Genomic DNA, 14,349 nt, shown 5'->3' on the forward strand with positions numbered 1-14,349 from the left:
TAAGGAATATGACCACCTTGAACAGGCTAAAAGGAACCTAATGCTAAGGAGACCCTCACAAATGCCAGATAGAGAAGAAACCTCAAATGCCAGATAAATTTAAATATGCATAGTTATATTCAGTCCTATTAACTTTTGATTAGTATTGCATTACATGAATATACCACATTTGAAAAATATGTTTTTCTGCAGATACATACCCTAGCTGCTCATTTAATATTAGGTTAAAAGAGCAGCTAGCTTCCTACCTGAGAGCAGCTTCCTAGAATGAGTGGAGATTTTATTCCACTCATCTTCTAGGATTTAGAGGAAAGTTTTTCAAACTCCACACTATTGACATTTCGTGTCAGATAATTTTTTGTTGTGGGGGAGCTGTCCTGTATTTTGTAGGATGTTTAGCAGTATCCCTGCTTCTACACACCAAATGTCAGTAGCATCTTAGTTGTGACAACCAAAAATGTCTCCAAACATTGCCAAATGTCCCCTGGGGCCAGGGGAAACAAAATCACCTCTAGTTGATAATCACTGATCTAGAGAGTAAAGCTACAGAAGACTCTTCTGTCCTTGGATTACATGCTGCTTTCTCTCATGGGAGGAAAAAAAGGAGGATTTTAACAGGAGAATGCCAGGGCTCCAGGCTCGAGAAAGAAAAGTGACTATTTATCTTACTCAGCTCAGAGAGCTGTCAGAGAGAGACAATAACCTGAGTACTCATAATCACAAGTAAGTGTCCAGATGCTGGGAGGAAGGTTGAGATCAAGATGCAATCTAGAAGTGTGTCAAAAATTAATGCTCTTGTTTTATCTGTGTATAAAATCAGTCCTTAAAGGAAAAGCTAAGAATAAATATCTTTTACATTTAATTTTTTGTTTGGGGAAATTTTTTAAATATATAAAAGAATATAGGCGAAGACACTATATCATACAACAGAATGTAATTGATAATATTTTATCATATTATTATTTTGTTAATATGTTATCATATTTGCATAATCCTGTTTAAAAGTAATACAATATTAACAATTGATTTGTCTGCAGTATTTTAATCTATTTTTAATAATTATGTGTGTATTTTATATATATACACACACAGGTATCTGAGCAATATAGAATATTACATTTACATAATTTATGTAATACTGTATATATTTTCTATAGTATACTTTTTCAACATGGATTTTGAGGTTTAAATATGCATAGATATATTCAGTCCCATTAACTTTTGATTAGTATTGCATTACATGAATATACCATCTTTGAAAAATATATTTTTCTACAAATACATTCCCTAGAGATAAACAGCCTGTTACAAATTTTCAATGTTACAGCCAGCCCTGCAGCAAATATCCTCACACATATCTCCTATTTTATACATAAAAGTTTCTTTGGCTGGGTACAGTGGTTCACTCCTGTAATCCCAGCACTTTGGAAGGCCGAGGCAGGTGGATCACCTGAGGTCATAAGTTTGAGACCAGCCTGGCCAACATAGTGAAAACCCATCTCTATTTAAGAAAAAAAAAAATTGCCAGTTGTGGTGCCGGGCATCTGTAATCCCAGTTATTCAGAAGGCTGAGGCAGGAGAATCACTTGAACCCGGGAGGTGGAGGTTGCAGTGAGCCAAAATAGTGCCACTGCACTCCAGCTTGGGCAACAAGAGCAAAACTCCGGCTCAAAAAAAAAAAAGAGTTTCTTTAATATCTAGGTAAATTTTTATGTTCACTAGGTAAGTACCACATTGTTTTTCAAATAACAGGCATTGAGAATTCCTCTTTTCCCACATTCTTACTATCACTGTTCTCTTCTCATGTTAACACTTTGCCAGTCTAATGGGTGTGGGGTTATAGTTTAAAGGGCATTTCCATGATGATTAGATAAACTGATCACCTTTTTTTGGTCTTTTACTCATTTATATTTTCCTCCTTTATGAATTTCTTGGTTGTATCTTTTGCCCATGTTCCTGCTGGGTTGTTTGTTCTTTTATTTTTTGTTTCTAAGACTTACTTTAAATTTTCTGGTTATTAACCTTTTCTTGTTTATAACTGATGCAAGTATCTTCTCCCAACCTGTTGGTTAACATTATTTATGATGTCTCTTGACATACAGAGCCATAGGTTTTCATGTGTCAAGCTTTTTAGGGTCTTGTTTAATAATTTTTCTTCTACTCTAAGGTTTTAAATGTATTTTTATATGTTTTCTTCTAATACATGTTTAGGGTTTTAATTAATCTGAAATTTATTTTTGTGCATGGTGTAATATAGGGACCTAATTGTATTTATTGTTTTTCCCAGTTATCAGTAATGACACTACCCTTGACTGTTTTTATTCCGTTACCTTTATTATAAGTCAAGTTCCTGTATATATAGGGATCTGGTTCTGAGCTTTCTTATGATAATTGCCTTGATATGTGATGAAACAAGACGTTCTTGGTTATTCTTCAGATCCATCCATTGTGCTGAATCTTCTTATGTGTTTTAATGGTTTATCTGTAGATGCTCTGATGTTTTTGTGTATATAGCATCATTACAAATATAAAAGTTTCATATCTTTTTTCTCTTCTTTAGATATCTTAAAGATAATTATATTCACATTTGCTTTAAAAATATTTGAAAGTACCATCTCCTTGAGGTTTATAACTGAAATATGGGCTTCAGCTTTAACAAAACAATGTATTTGATATGGTAAACTAAAAATGTATAATTTTGAAACTGAGTTTATGTATGAATGCCACCTTGTAATGTTTCTGTCTCCCCAAACAGAATTGAATTCTTTAATCATAAAGAGCATCTGTTAGACATCAGGGTATTGCCAGCATTGTGCACAGATCCTTGGATAGGAGTTTCTCAGCAACTGTTTGGTGGAGTGAGATATCTCATATCTTCCTCCTGTTACCTCTTCTCCATTCATTCATTCTTCTAGGAGAATGAGGATTAAAACGTTAATCTCAAAAGTATAGGTAGCTGTGTTTATGCTTGTTGAATATTTCCAATTCAACTCAAGTACATGTTAAGTGCGTACTCTTCAGCCAGCACCATTTGCATGATGTTTTAAGGATACAAGTGAAATGTGAGACATGTTTCTGTCTTTAGGGAGCTTACAAATCTGGTCATGGCACTCATTCTGCTTCTTAAATTTCTGGGCTCCCCATGTCCCTGAAAATAAATAATCATAATCAAAATGATGATAATAGATAACATTTACTGAGCTAAAAGTATATACCAGGAACTCTGCCAAGCATTTTACATGTATTCTCTTTTTTAATATAAAACCCTGGAAAGTAATGTCATTATCCTAGTTTTACAGATAAGGAAATCGAAGCTTAGAAAAGTTAACTTTCCACTAAGTGACTTGCCTAGGGTTGCATGGCTAGTAAATGACAGGAAGTTTGGGCCTGTGCATTTTTTTTTTTTTCTGTTAAGGGACAGGATCTCATTCTATTGCCCAGGCTGGAGTGGAGCAGCACAGTCATAACTCACTGCAGCCTCCAACTCTTGGGCTCAAGCAATCCTCCCCACTCAGCCTCCTGAGTAACTAGGACTACAGGCGCACACCATCACGCCTGGCTAATTTTTTTTTCTTTTTTTTTTTTTAGAGACAGGGTCTTGTTGTGTTACCCAGGCTGGTCTTGAACTCCTAGCCTCAAGCAATCCTCCTGCCTCTGTCTCCCAAAGTTCTGGGATTACAGATGCGAGCTGCTGTATCCAGCTGAACCTGTGCTTTTAAGCAGTATACCATGCATTTTATCATGGCAAGATCCCTGTGATCTGATCTGGACCACATCTCTTGCCCTTTTGTTTCTTATCTATAGTTTAGCTATACTGAACTACTTATAGATTCGTTAACTTGGTATCTTCACTCTTACTTTATACCTTTGAAAAAGCTGTTTTTTTCTTTCAGGAAGCCAGCCTCTCCCTACCACTGAGTTCATGTATCTTGTTCTCTAGGTCTAGATGTACTTCTATAGTATTCTAGTCTTGCTGCATAGTATTGTAATGGCCTGTTTTCTTCATTTTCTGACTAATTGAGAGCTACATCTAATTTATTCTTGGATCCTCTAGACACAGTAGTACATGGTTATCTGGCATATAATAAGTATAGGAGTATTTGTTGAGTTAGCTAGTTTGTTGAAGGAAAAAAGGCATGCACCTGAGAAATTAACTCAGAATAGCATTAGCTAGAAGGTCTGCAATATGAATGGTAATAAAAGGGATTCGTAAAGAGAGAAATATAGTTGACCCGGAGTAATAAAGGAAGACTTCTTTTCCATTAAGGTAGAATTTTTTTGCCATCTCCAGTTTTGACTTTGAACATATCTGCCCTCATTTTATCTCCTTGCTTATTGGTTACTTCATTTCATGGTGATTTTTCCTAGTCTCAATCTCTAGTCATTTTATAGACACCTTGCCAGTTCATTACTTTTAGCTTCTTGCTTTCTCTATCCCCTCTCTGTCTGCGTGTCCTGCCTGTTCTATCACTTTTTTCTTTTCCTCTATACTGTCTTCAAGTTCTTTGGTTTTACACAAAACTTACCATCAAAAACATATTTGAGAGTTCCACGAAGAGAGTCCAGTTTACTCGTGTTGCAGTTTAGATCCATGGATTTAAATAGATCAGAACTTTAGACTGAATCTACTACATATATCTTATATCAATTAGTTTCTCTAAGGTAAAAGTAGATGTCTTCAAACACTGTGAGGTTGCAGAGCTGAGGTTCCCTAAAACCTTGTATGTATCAAAATGTATGTTACTCATTTTATTCATGCCTTGGTATGTAATTTGTCAAAATATCTTGCTGCATTTTCTTGTTGTGGGAGTTATAAAATACAATTTTAATAACTACAATTGGGAAAACTCATCAATAATGAAAGACTTAAAAGACAAACGTGATCGTCACAGTTTTAAAATTTGGTTTTGTTTTGGTATTTGTAATATTTTGTTTTGTGTAGGTAAATACATTTGATTAGTTGATTCTTTTCAACTTACTATATTGTTTTGTGCTATTGTTTTTATAGTCTTTAATATTATTAAGAAAAGTAAATGGGGCTGGGCTTGGTAGCTCACGCCTATAATCCCAACACTTTGGGAGGCTGAGACGGGCGGATCATGAGGTCGAGAGATCGAGACCATCCTGGCCAACATGGTGAAACCCCGTCTCTACTAAAATACAAAAATTAGCCAGGCATGGTGGCGTGCGCCTGTAGTCCCAGCTACTTGGGAGGCTGAGGCAGAAGAATCACTTGAACCCGGGAGGCAGAGGTTGCAGTGAGCCGAGATTGCGCCACTGCACTGCAGCCTGGCCTCACAGCAAGATTCCATCTCAAAAAAAAAAGAAAAAGAAAAGAAAAGTAAATGGTATCTTAATTGTTGCCAATTATGAGCTCTATAGCAACTGATCTTCCCCTCTTCTGTCCTCTTTTTTCTGTTACTTTTATATGTAGCCAAATGATTTTGATTGCTGCTTATAAAACAAAGAGCTACTTGTGACCACTTCTTCCTATTATATTAGTTTGATGAAAACAAAATTTCAAAGTCATACTTAACTGTCTTTATATGTATTACAAAACAAGTTGTCTGATGACTTGGCTAAATAAACCAGGGCTAAAGACTGGAAGGCAAAAATGAATCATAGTCATTCAGTACATTTGGTATATTTTTTTAAAAAGGTGCTACCTGTATGCACCTTGTTCTCATTATTTTGCTTTAAGATAAATTGTTTGATTTTGTTTATTGCATTTATAGGAACTTACAAATCATTTTTTTTTCTGTCTTTTTAGGACACAGCTGTATACAGAATACATTGTTCACTGTACCTTCGTCTCTAATTATTATTATCCTTATTTTGCCTTTGAATGGATACTTTTTTGATGAGGATCAACTAATGGTTTAATCATAAGAATTAAGAGTTTATCAGAGTTATTGGATTTCTAATTATAACTTGTGAATTCTATTATCGTATTCTCTGCTTAATTTGTAACAGTTATTTGAAAATTCAGATTTTTCTATTTCAAGAAGTTATTCATAATATAAAGTAGTTCCAAATGTAACTGCTGTGTTTATTACTTGTTTGCTTTTACTATCTAGTAATTGTTATTTGAAAATATTCAAGATGTATATATGATTGGGGAAATACATCTGTTATAGCAGTCAATTTACTTTATATATTTTAGCCAGAATTGTTTTCTAAATTTTGGTATTTTGTAATGTCCACTTTTTAGATGTGAATTTATATCACTTTCTAAATCTGGTTTTATATTTTCGATAAAAATAAAGATCTCACTAAATGTGTAAGCATAGATACTTGATCAGAGAAGGAAATATGGTGATACAAATGTACACTAACTGGATTTTCTTTGTGTAACAGCACGGAAAAGAGGCGCAGGGAGCAAGAAAATAAATATTTAGAAGAACTAGCTGAGTTACTGTCTGCCAACATTAGTGACATTGACAGCTTGAGTGTAAAACCAGACAAATGCAAGATTTTGAAGAAAACAGTCGATCAGATACAGCTAATGAAGAGAATGGAACAAGGTAAAAAAGAAAAAGAAAACCCATGGCTGTGTGCTTTGTTATTAAGACATTTATAATATGTGATTTTACTTTATTATTATTATTATTATTATTTTATTATTATTATTATTTTTTGAGATGAAGTCCCGCTCTGTCGCCCAGGCTGGAGTGCAGTGGTGCGATCTCGGCTCACTGCAAGCTCCACCTCCTGGGTTCACACCATTCTCCTGCCTCAGCCTCCCAAGTAGCTGGGACTACAGGCGCCTGCCACTATACCTGGCTGATCTTTTTGTATTTTTTTAGTAGAGACGGGGTTTCACCATGTTAGCCAGGATGGTCTCAATCTCCTGACCTCGTGATCCGCCCACCTCAGCCTCCCAAAGTGCTGGGATTACAGGCGTGAGCCACCGCACCTGGCCTACTTTTTTATTATTAAAAAATTATATTGAACATTATAATTTTATAAAGAAATGTCTTTGTTAAGATGCTGTTTATTTTAGAAAGTGAACCTGAGAATCTTCTTGTTATAACAAAGTGTCTTATTAAGTTAACTCAAAAACTGGTTGCTTTAGGAGATTATGGGACTCAGTATCATAGGGGATTGAGTCAGAAGACACAAGTTGTGGAGTTGGACCTGAGGCCCTAGCATAGAGTTCTTTAGGACAGTAACTCCATGAAGAGAAAAATCTCCACTTATATGAGGAAGTTTGTCTCTACCTGGGCTCTTCTCTGAAAAAACCCGGATTTTTTTTTTTTTTGAGATGGATCCTCATTCTGTCACAGGCTGGAGTGCAGTGGTGCGATCTCTGCTCGCTGCAACCTCTACCTCCTGGGTTCAAGCAATTCTCCTGCCTCAGCCTCCCAAGTAGCTGGGATTACAAGTGCGCGCCACTATGCCCAGCTAATTTTTGTATTTTTAGTAGAGATGGGGTTGCACCATGTTGGCCAGGCTGGTGTATTTTTAAGCTTCATATTTTTACTACCTATATTTACTGGAACCCCATACCATCAAACTCCTTGGTTGCCTACCAGAAATAAAGGCAAAGCACTTTGAAGAAACAATCCCACAAGCTGGCCCCATGGGAGTGCCACAGAAAAAGTGCTTCTGAGGGTGATTTTACACTGCAAAGTTATTTAACATATGAGGAAATAATCTAGAGTAACAGCACAAATAACAAACAGAAGGACTAACCCCAAAGAACTTCAGATTATTAGCATTAAAGTTTTATAATTTTAAGATTTTAGAAGCTGGAAAACAGATAGTCTAGTGACAACTGATTTAGCAAACAGGAGAAACCGTACTGTAAAACTGCAGAGAGGAGCACTAGCAAGAGGCTCTCTGCCCCTTCCCTGCTTGGTCTCGAAACACTAACAGCCTGGCTCCTACTCCCTAAATTGGGGGTGGCAGTATACCTCTGGGTAAACTGAGCAGTCGGAAGATGAAGTCATGTGGGGGTGATCCTCAAATGAAAAAATTCATTCCTTATCTTGCCCCCACTCCTCACCTAACTGCCAGTCAACTATTTAATGTGAACAAAAAGCCAGGTATTGGGGGAAAGCCTGTAATATAAAAGAGAGCAAACCAAGCAAACAAACAGAAAAAAGGGAACTCAGAGGAAGCAGAAACAGTGCAGGGAACTGAAGAAAACTTAAAAAGATACCAGTCCCTGGGAGACATGAGGGAAGGTATTTCATCAAAAGATGAGAATAAGTCCTATAAAATGAAATATTCAAAAGAAGAAATAGCTTTTGGAACTTAGAAACAGGATAGCTGGAAAAAATTTTACTTCTTTACCTTTGTTTCCTCACACTCTCTGCCCTGACCAGTGGCAGGCACACTCTGCCCCTGCTATTTACAGTTGCTGTTCCTTCTGTCTGGAATGCTCTGTCTCTAGATATCCACATGCTTTATTCACCTCTTTCATGTCTTTGCTCAAATACGTCTTCTGAGTAAAGTTGTTCCTAACTAACCTATTTGAAATATTTTTAAAAACAGAAAAAAAAATCTATGCATCTTTTTATACCTTCCTTATTTTCCCCACAGTACTTTTTACATCTGACATATGACATACTTTATATATTATTTGCCTGCCCCCACTAGAGTTCCACGAGGGCAAGCGATTTTGTTTGTTCACGACTATATCCTCAGTACCTAAAACAGCACTTGGCTACATAGTAGGCTTTCAATGCATATTTGTTGAATGACTGGATGAAGGGATGTGATTTGAAGAAATCTCTTAGATAATAAGCAATGGAAAATGAGAGAAAAAATAAGAAACTTATAGGATTAGTTCAGGAAGTCTAACATATGATTAATCCCAGAAAAAGAGAATAGAACAAATGGAAGGGAATAAATGATAAGAGAAATAATGCAAAAATAATGTTCTCAGAACTAGAAGTATATTAGTTTCCGGATTGAAAGCCCTCATGTAGTGCCCAGCACAGTTGTTGTAAAAGAAAGATAAAGTAACTTATACCAATGCACAATTTAGTGACATTTCAGAACACCAGGGAGATAAACAAGAGAGAAGAAAAAACAGGTCTCACACATACTAGATTGCTTTCAGAATAGGTTCAGATTTCTAAATAACAACATTGAAAACTAGAATTCTAGACCCAGAATTCTGTGTTCATCCAGTTGAAGTTATGAGTGCCAAATAGACATGCTCAGACATTCAGAGTCTCAAAGGTATTACCTCCAGTTATACCTGTTTCAGAAATCTCTATCCAATCCAAGATAGTAAAGCTAGAAAGAAGGGCATAGGATCTTAATCCAGGGAAACCATGGAATCTTAACACAAAGAAAGGTAAAAGGAGACCCAGGATTACAGTTGTGCAGCAACCTAGAAAATAGCCAGTCCTAGTTGGAGCAGGTGGATAGAGGACTCTAGGGAACATTTCCATAGGGAAAAAAAAAAGGAACGCATAAGAGTATCTGCTAACTGACTGAATCGAGATGAATTTTTCAGCTCTGGAGGGGAGTTTAGGGTTGAATTAAACTATACGTAAGATCTGAAACACTAAATATAAAAAAAGAAATGTAAGTTATAACACACACATCGGCTCCCTTATAAAGTATATTTATATGACCCTAGTGACATATATATTAAATATTGGTTACGCAAAAAATTGTTAAAACTATACTGAAAGTAAGAGAGGAGGGGTAATTTGTATAGCAGGTTGGTGTAAATAAATTATTTACCTTTCATGGTAGCATGTCAGTAGGTTATGTCTAACATGGACAAAATCAGGTTATAGCAAATTAGCATGTTACTAAGAAATATAAAGCATATTAGGATATAGGCTAGGTTAGTATAACAACACACCCAAAATACAATGGTTTTAAAAAGATGGTCTAGGAAGGTGTGAGGGATTGACTCCTTCCATCTTTTTGGCTCTGCCATTCCTAGGGTATTGCCATTATCCATGTTGTTAGACATGGCCCCCTTGTCCATGTCCCAGCTAACAAGAAGGAGAAAGAAAAAAACAAGAAGGCATGCTTCTTTTCCATTACAGATAAGACCCAGAAATTGCATGTCACTTCTGTTCACGTTCCGTTAGGCCAGAAACTAGTCACATAGCCATTCCTACCTTAGGTTTTCCCTAAAATGTTAGATATTTTGCACGTCACACAAAATTATTTAATCTACTTGAACTTGATAGTTTGTTTTTTAGAACTTGCTTACAAACAAAATCCTTTCTTACCCTCATGTAATAAAACACATGAAATAATGAAGGAAATGTATCTTAAAATGAGAAACTCCTGCACCATAATAATAAAAAGATAACATAATTTAAAAATAAAGACCCTGAATAGACATTTCTCCAAAGAAAATGTACAAATGGCCAACAAGCACATGAAAAAGATGCCCAATATCATTAGCCATTAGGGAAATGCAAACTAGAATCAAAGTCACATACCATTTCACACTCACTAAGATGGCTATAATCAAAAAGATAAGGCTGGGTGCTGTGGCTCACGCCTGTAATCCCAGCACTTTGGGAGGCCAAGGTGAGAAGATCGCTTGAGCCCAGGAGTTTGAGACCAGCCTGGACAACATAGCAAGACCCTCTGTCTACAAAAAAATAAAAAATTACCCAGGCACAGTGGTGCATCCCTGTAGTCCCAACTATTCGGGAGACCAAGGTGGGAGGATTGCTTGAGCCTAGGAGTTTGAGGTTGCAATGAGCTGTGATTGTGCCACTGCACTCCATCCTCAGCAACAGAGCAAGGAGTGTCTTAGGAAAAAAAACAGAAAAAGGTAATAACAAGTGTGGGTGAGAAATTGAAAGCCACACATACTTCTGATGGGAATGGAAAATGATGGAGCCACGTTGGAAAACAGTCCAACAGTTTCTCAACTGGAGGAGAGTTTGGGGTTGAACATAGAGCTAGCTATCATATGACCCAATAATTCCAGTTCTAGGTGTATCCCCAAGAGAAATGAAAACCTGTCCATACAAAAAATTTGTACATGAATGTTCACAAAAACATTATCACAAATAGCTGAAAAGTAGAAACTACCCATACGTCCATCAGCTGATGAATAGATATATAAAAGGACATATACCACTATGAAGGACTATTATTAGGCAATAAAAAGGAATAAAGTACTGATAAATAATTCAACATGGTTGAACCCTGAAAACATGCTAAGCCAAAGAAGAAGCCGAGTCACATATGACCACATATTGTATGATTCCATTTATAGGAAATGTCCAAAAAAGGCAAATTCATTGAGACAAAAAATAAATTGGTAGATGCCTCAGACTTAGGGGTATTGGAAAAATGGGGAGTGACTGGTAATGGGAATGGAGTTTTTTGGGAGGTGATGAGAATATTCTAAAATTGGTTGTGACAGTGGTTGCACAATTCTGTGAATATACTAAAAATCATTGAATTGTGTGCCTTAAATGAGTTAATTGCGTGTTGTGTAAATTATAGCTCAAGAAAGCCATTATTATAAATAGTATGTGAGATAACATTTTACACCATAGGTTTGCAAAAATTAAAAACTATGATATTGTTTTTCAGTGAGGATGCAGAAGAGCAAAACCAATGTTACAACCTCTTTGGAGAGCAGTTTGTCAATACCTAGTGATATAAGTTACGCAGACCTTATGATCCTGAAATTTCACTCTAGTATTTATCCTGAAGAAACTGTGACATGTGTACAAAAGAGGAAATACCAAAAATAGTTTATTATAGCACTGTAGTTATCAAAAGACCTACCAGTAGGGGAATAGAAATCCACTGCAGATTATTTATATAATATAATACTCTTAACAGCAGTTAAAATGAATGAATCAAACCTACATGTATCAATGTGGTTAAATCTCAAACATAATATTGAGTGGAAAAAGTAAGTTGAAAAAGTTTGTACAATTGTCCCTTGGTATGTGTGGGGGATTGGTTCCATGACCTCCCACTGATACTAAAATCTGAGTATGCTCAAGTCCCTGATATAAAATGGTGTAGTAGCCAGGGGCAGTGGTGCATGTCTGTAATCCCAGCTACCTGGAAGGCTGAGGCTAGAAGATTGCTTGAATTTAGGAGTTTAGGGCTAGCCTGGGCAACATAGCAAGATCCCTGTCTCTTAAAATAAAATAAAACAAGCAAAATTTAAAAATAAGATAAAATGTCATAGTATTTGCTTATAATTGATCCTGTCATGTACTTTTTTAAGAGAGGGTCTCACTCTGTCACCCAGGCTGGAGTGCAGTTGCGGGATCTCGGCTCACTGCAACCTCTGCCTCCCAGGTCCAAGCAATTATTGTACCTCAGCCTCCTGAGTAGCTGAGATTACAGACATGTGCCACCACGCCCGGCTAATTTTTGTATTTTTATTAGAGATAGGATTTCACCATGTTGGCCAGGCTGGTCTCCAACTCCTGACCTCAGATGATCTGCCCATCTGATCATCTTCCCAAAGTGCTGGGATTACAGACGTGAGCCACCTTGCCTGGCCCATGTACTTTTAAATAATCTCTACATTACCTATTAAAATACTTACTACAATGTAAAGGCTATGTAAATAGTTGTTGTACTGTATTGTTTAGGGAATAATGATGAAAAAATCTATATGTATTCAGCACAGACACAATTCATTTTCAAATATTTTTGATCTGTGGTCAGTAGAATCCATGGATGTGGAGGACTAATGGTATATATAACTATACATTTATGTAAACCTTAAAACATGAAACAATAACATTGTTTATATATATGTTTATATATATAACAATATATTGTTTATGAAATCATACATATGTAGTAAAAGTATAAAAAAATGCTTAAAATGATTATGGCAACCTCAGAATAATGGTTACTTCTGAAAAAAGGGACAGAGGAGGGAGGGCAGGGCTTTCTCTGTATTTGCAACATGTATTTATTTAAAAAGGAAAGATCTGAGGCAAATGACGTTAACATCTGTGAATACCGAATGGTGGCTATATTAATATGTGCTGTATAATTTTCTGTATTTTTTGGAATACTTGAAATCCTTCTTCTTGTTTTTGAGACATGGTCTCATCCTGACACCCAGGCTGGAGTGCAGTGGCACAATTATAGCCCACCGCTGCCTCAAATTCTTGGGCTTAAGCGATCCTCCTACCTCACCCTCCTGAGTAGCTAGGATTACAAGCATGCACCACCACACCTAGCTAATTTTTAAAATTTTTTGTAAAAATAAAGGACTCGCTATGTTGCCCAGGCTGTTCTCAAACTCCTGGCCTCAAGCAGTCCTCCCACCTCTGCCTCCCAAAGCACTGAGATTACAGGCTTGGGGCACTGCACCCAACCCGGAAATACTTCCTGTTTTAAAGTGAAAATATGAATTTCTGTGCTCAATAATACCATATTTGGCTTTTGGTTAACTAGTCTGACAGATCAGAAACTTTTATTATTTAAATATGATTCTGCTTTAAGATGATGGGATATGCAACATCACCTCACAAAAGAACTCCCAATTACTTAGCAGTTTCAGTTTTATCAATCAGAGCATCATGGCACGAATGTGAAATGTTAGTGAGTTCATGCAGGCTCTCAAAAGGAAAAATCATATTTTCATTCTCTCTTCAATGGCACTTGATCAAATCAGAAAAAGAAAGAGAAAACTTGAAATAATTTTTCTTTTACAACTTACCCATTTCTCAAAACTTCTGGTATGGACTTTTTAAAAAGGCAATATATTTATAGCATTTTTCTCATTGTTGAAACACTGGATGTAGTATTCAAATGTTCATGCTACCATGTATTAGTTGTATGTTTTCAGGCACATTACTTAACCTTTGTGATGTTCCATTTTATGATCCATAAAATGAGTATAATTAAGATTAGTGTGAAAGTGCCTAGATACTGACTAAATGTTATTTGAATTTGAAATTTGGTGGATCTATGTCTTCGTAAACTTGACTTTATGGAAATAAGCTCTTTTCAGATATGTGATTTTTTTAAGTTTCTTTATTATAGAGAAATCAACAACTGATGACGATGTACAGAAATCAGACATCTCATCAAGTAGTCAAGGAGTGATAGAAAAGGAATCCTTGGGACCTCTTCTTTTGGAGGTAGGTGTCTTCATTGACTCAGAAAGTGATTAAAATCTTTGTTGTAGCCAGTTTGGTTTTTTCTTTTTTAAATGCCTTATATCCAGTTAATAAATTATAAAACAAAGTAAAGAACTTTTTATAATTATTTTATTATGAGAACTATTTGACAGTTGTTACTGTTTCAGAATCAAAAGTGAATAATGAACATGAGAAATTTTCATGAAGGCATTCTAAGCAGTGAGATGGAAAACTTGAAGCTTATTATATGGCTTTGCCTTTTATTTCTGTGGTGGTT

At 36.0% G+C, this 14,349-nt stretch overlaps 1 protein-coding gene across 15 annotated transcripts in view; it reads left to right on the top strand.

The window, feature by feature from the left end:
• NCOA1 (nuclear receptor coactivator 1) overlaps positions 1 to 14,349 on the top strand; it is a 279,449-nt gene that overhangs the window by 168,138 nt on the left and 96,962 nt on the right. For all 15 annotated transcript variants that reach the window (XM_047446155.1, NM_001362950.1, NM_003743.5 and 12 more), the window contains 2 exons: positions 6,358 to 6,524; positions 13,975 to 14,072. In XM_047446155.1, coding sequence (XP_047302111.1) covers positions 6,358 to 6,524; positions 13,975 to 14,072 — 265 coding nt within the window. The remainder of the gene's footprint in view (positions 1 to 6,357; positions 6,525 to 13,974; positions 14,073 to 14,349) is intronic.

Source organism: Homo sapiens, chromosome 2 (assembly GCF_000001405.40).
Source record: "Homo sapiens chromosome 2, GRCh38.p14 Primary Assembly".
Classification (NCBI taxonomy): domain Eukaryota; kingdom Metazoa; phylum Chordata; class Mammalia; order Primates; family Hominidae; genus Homo; species Homo sapiens.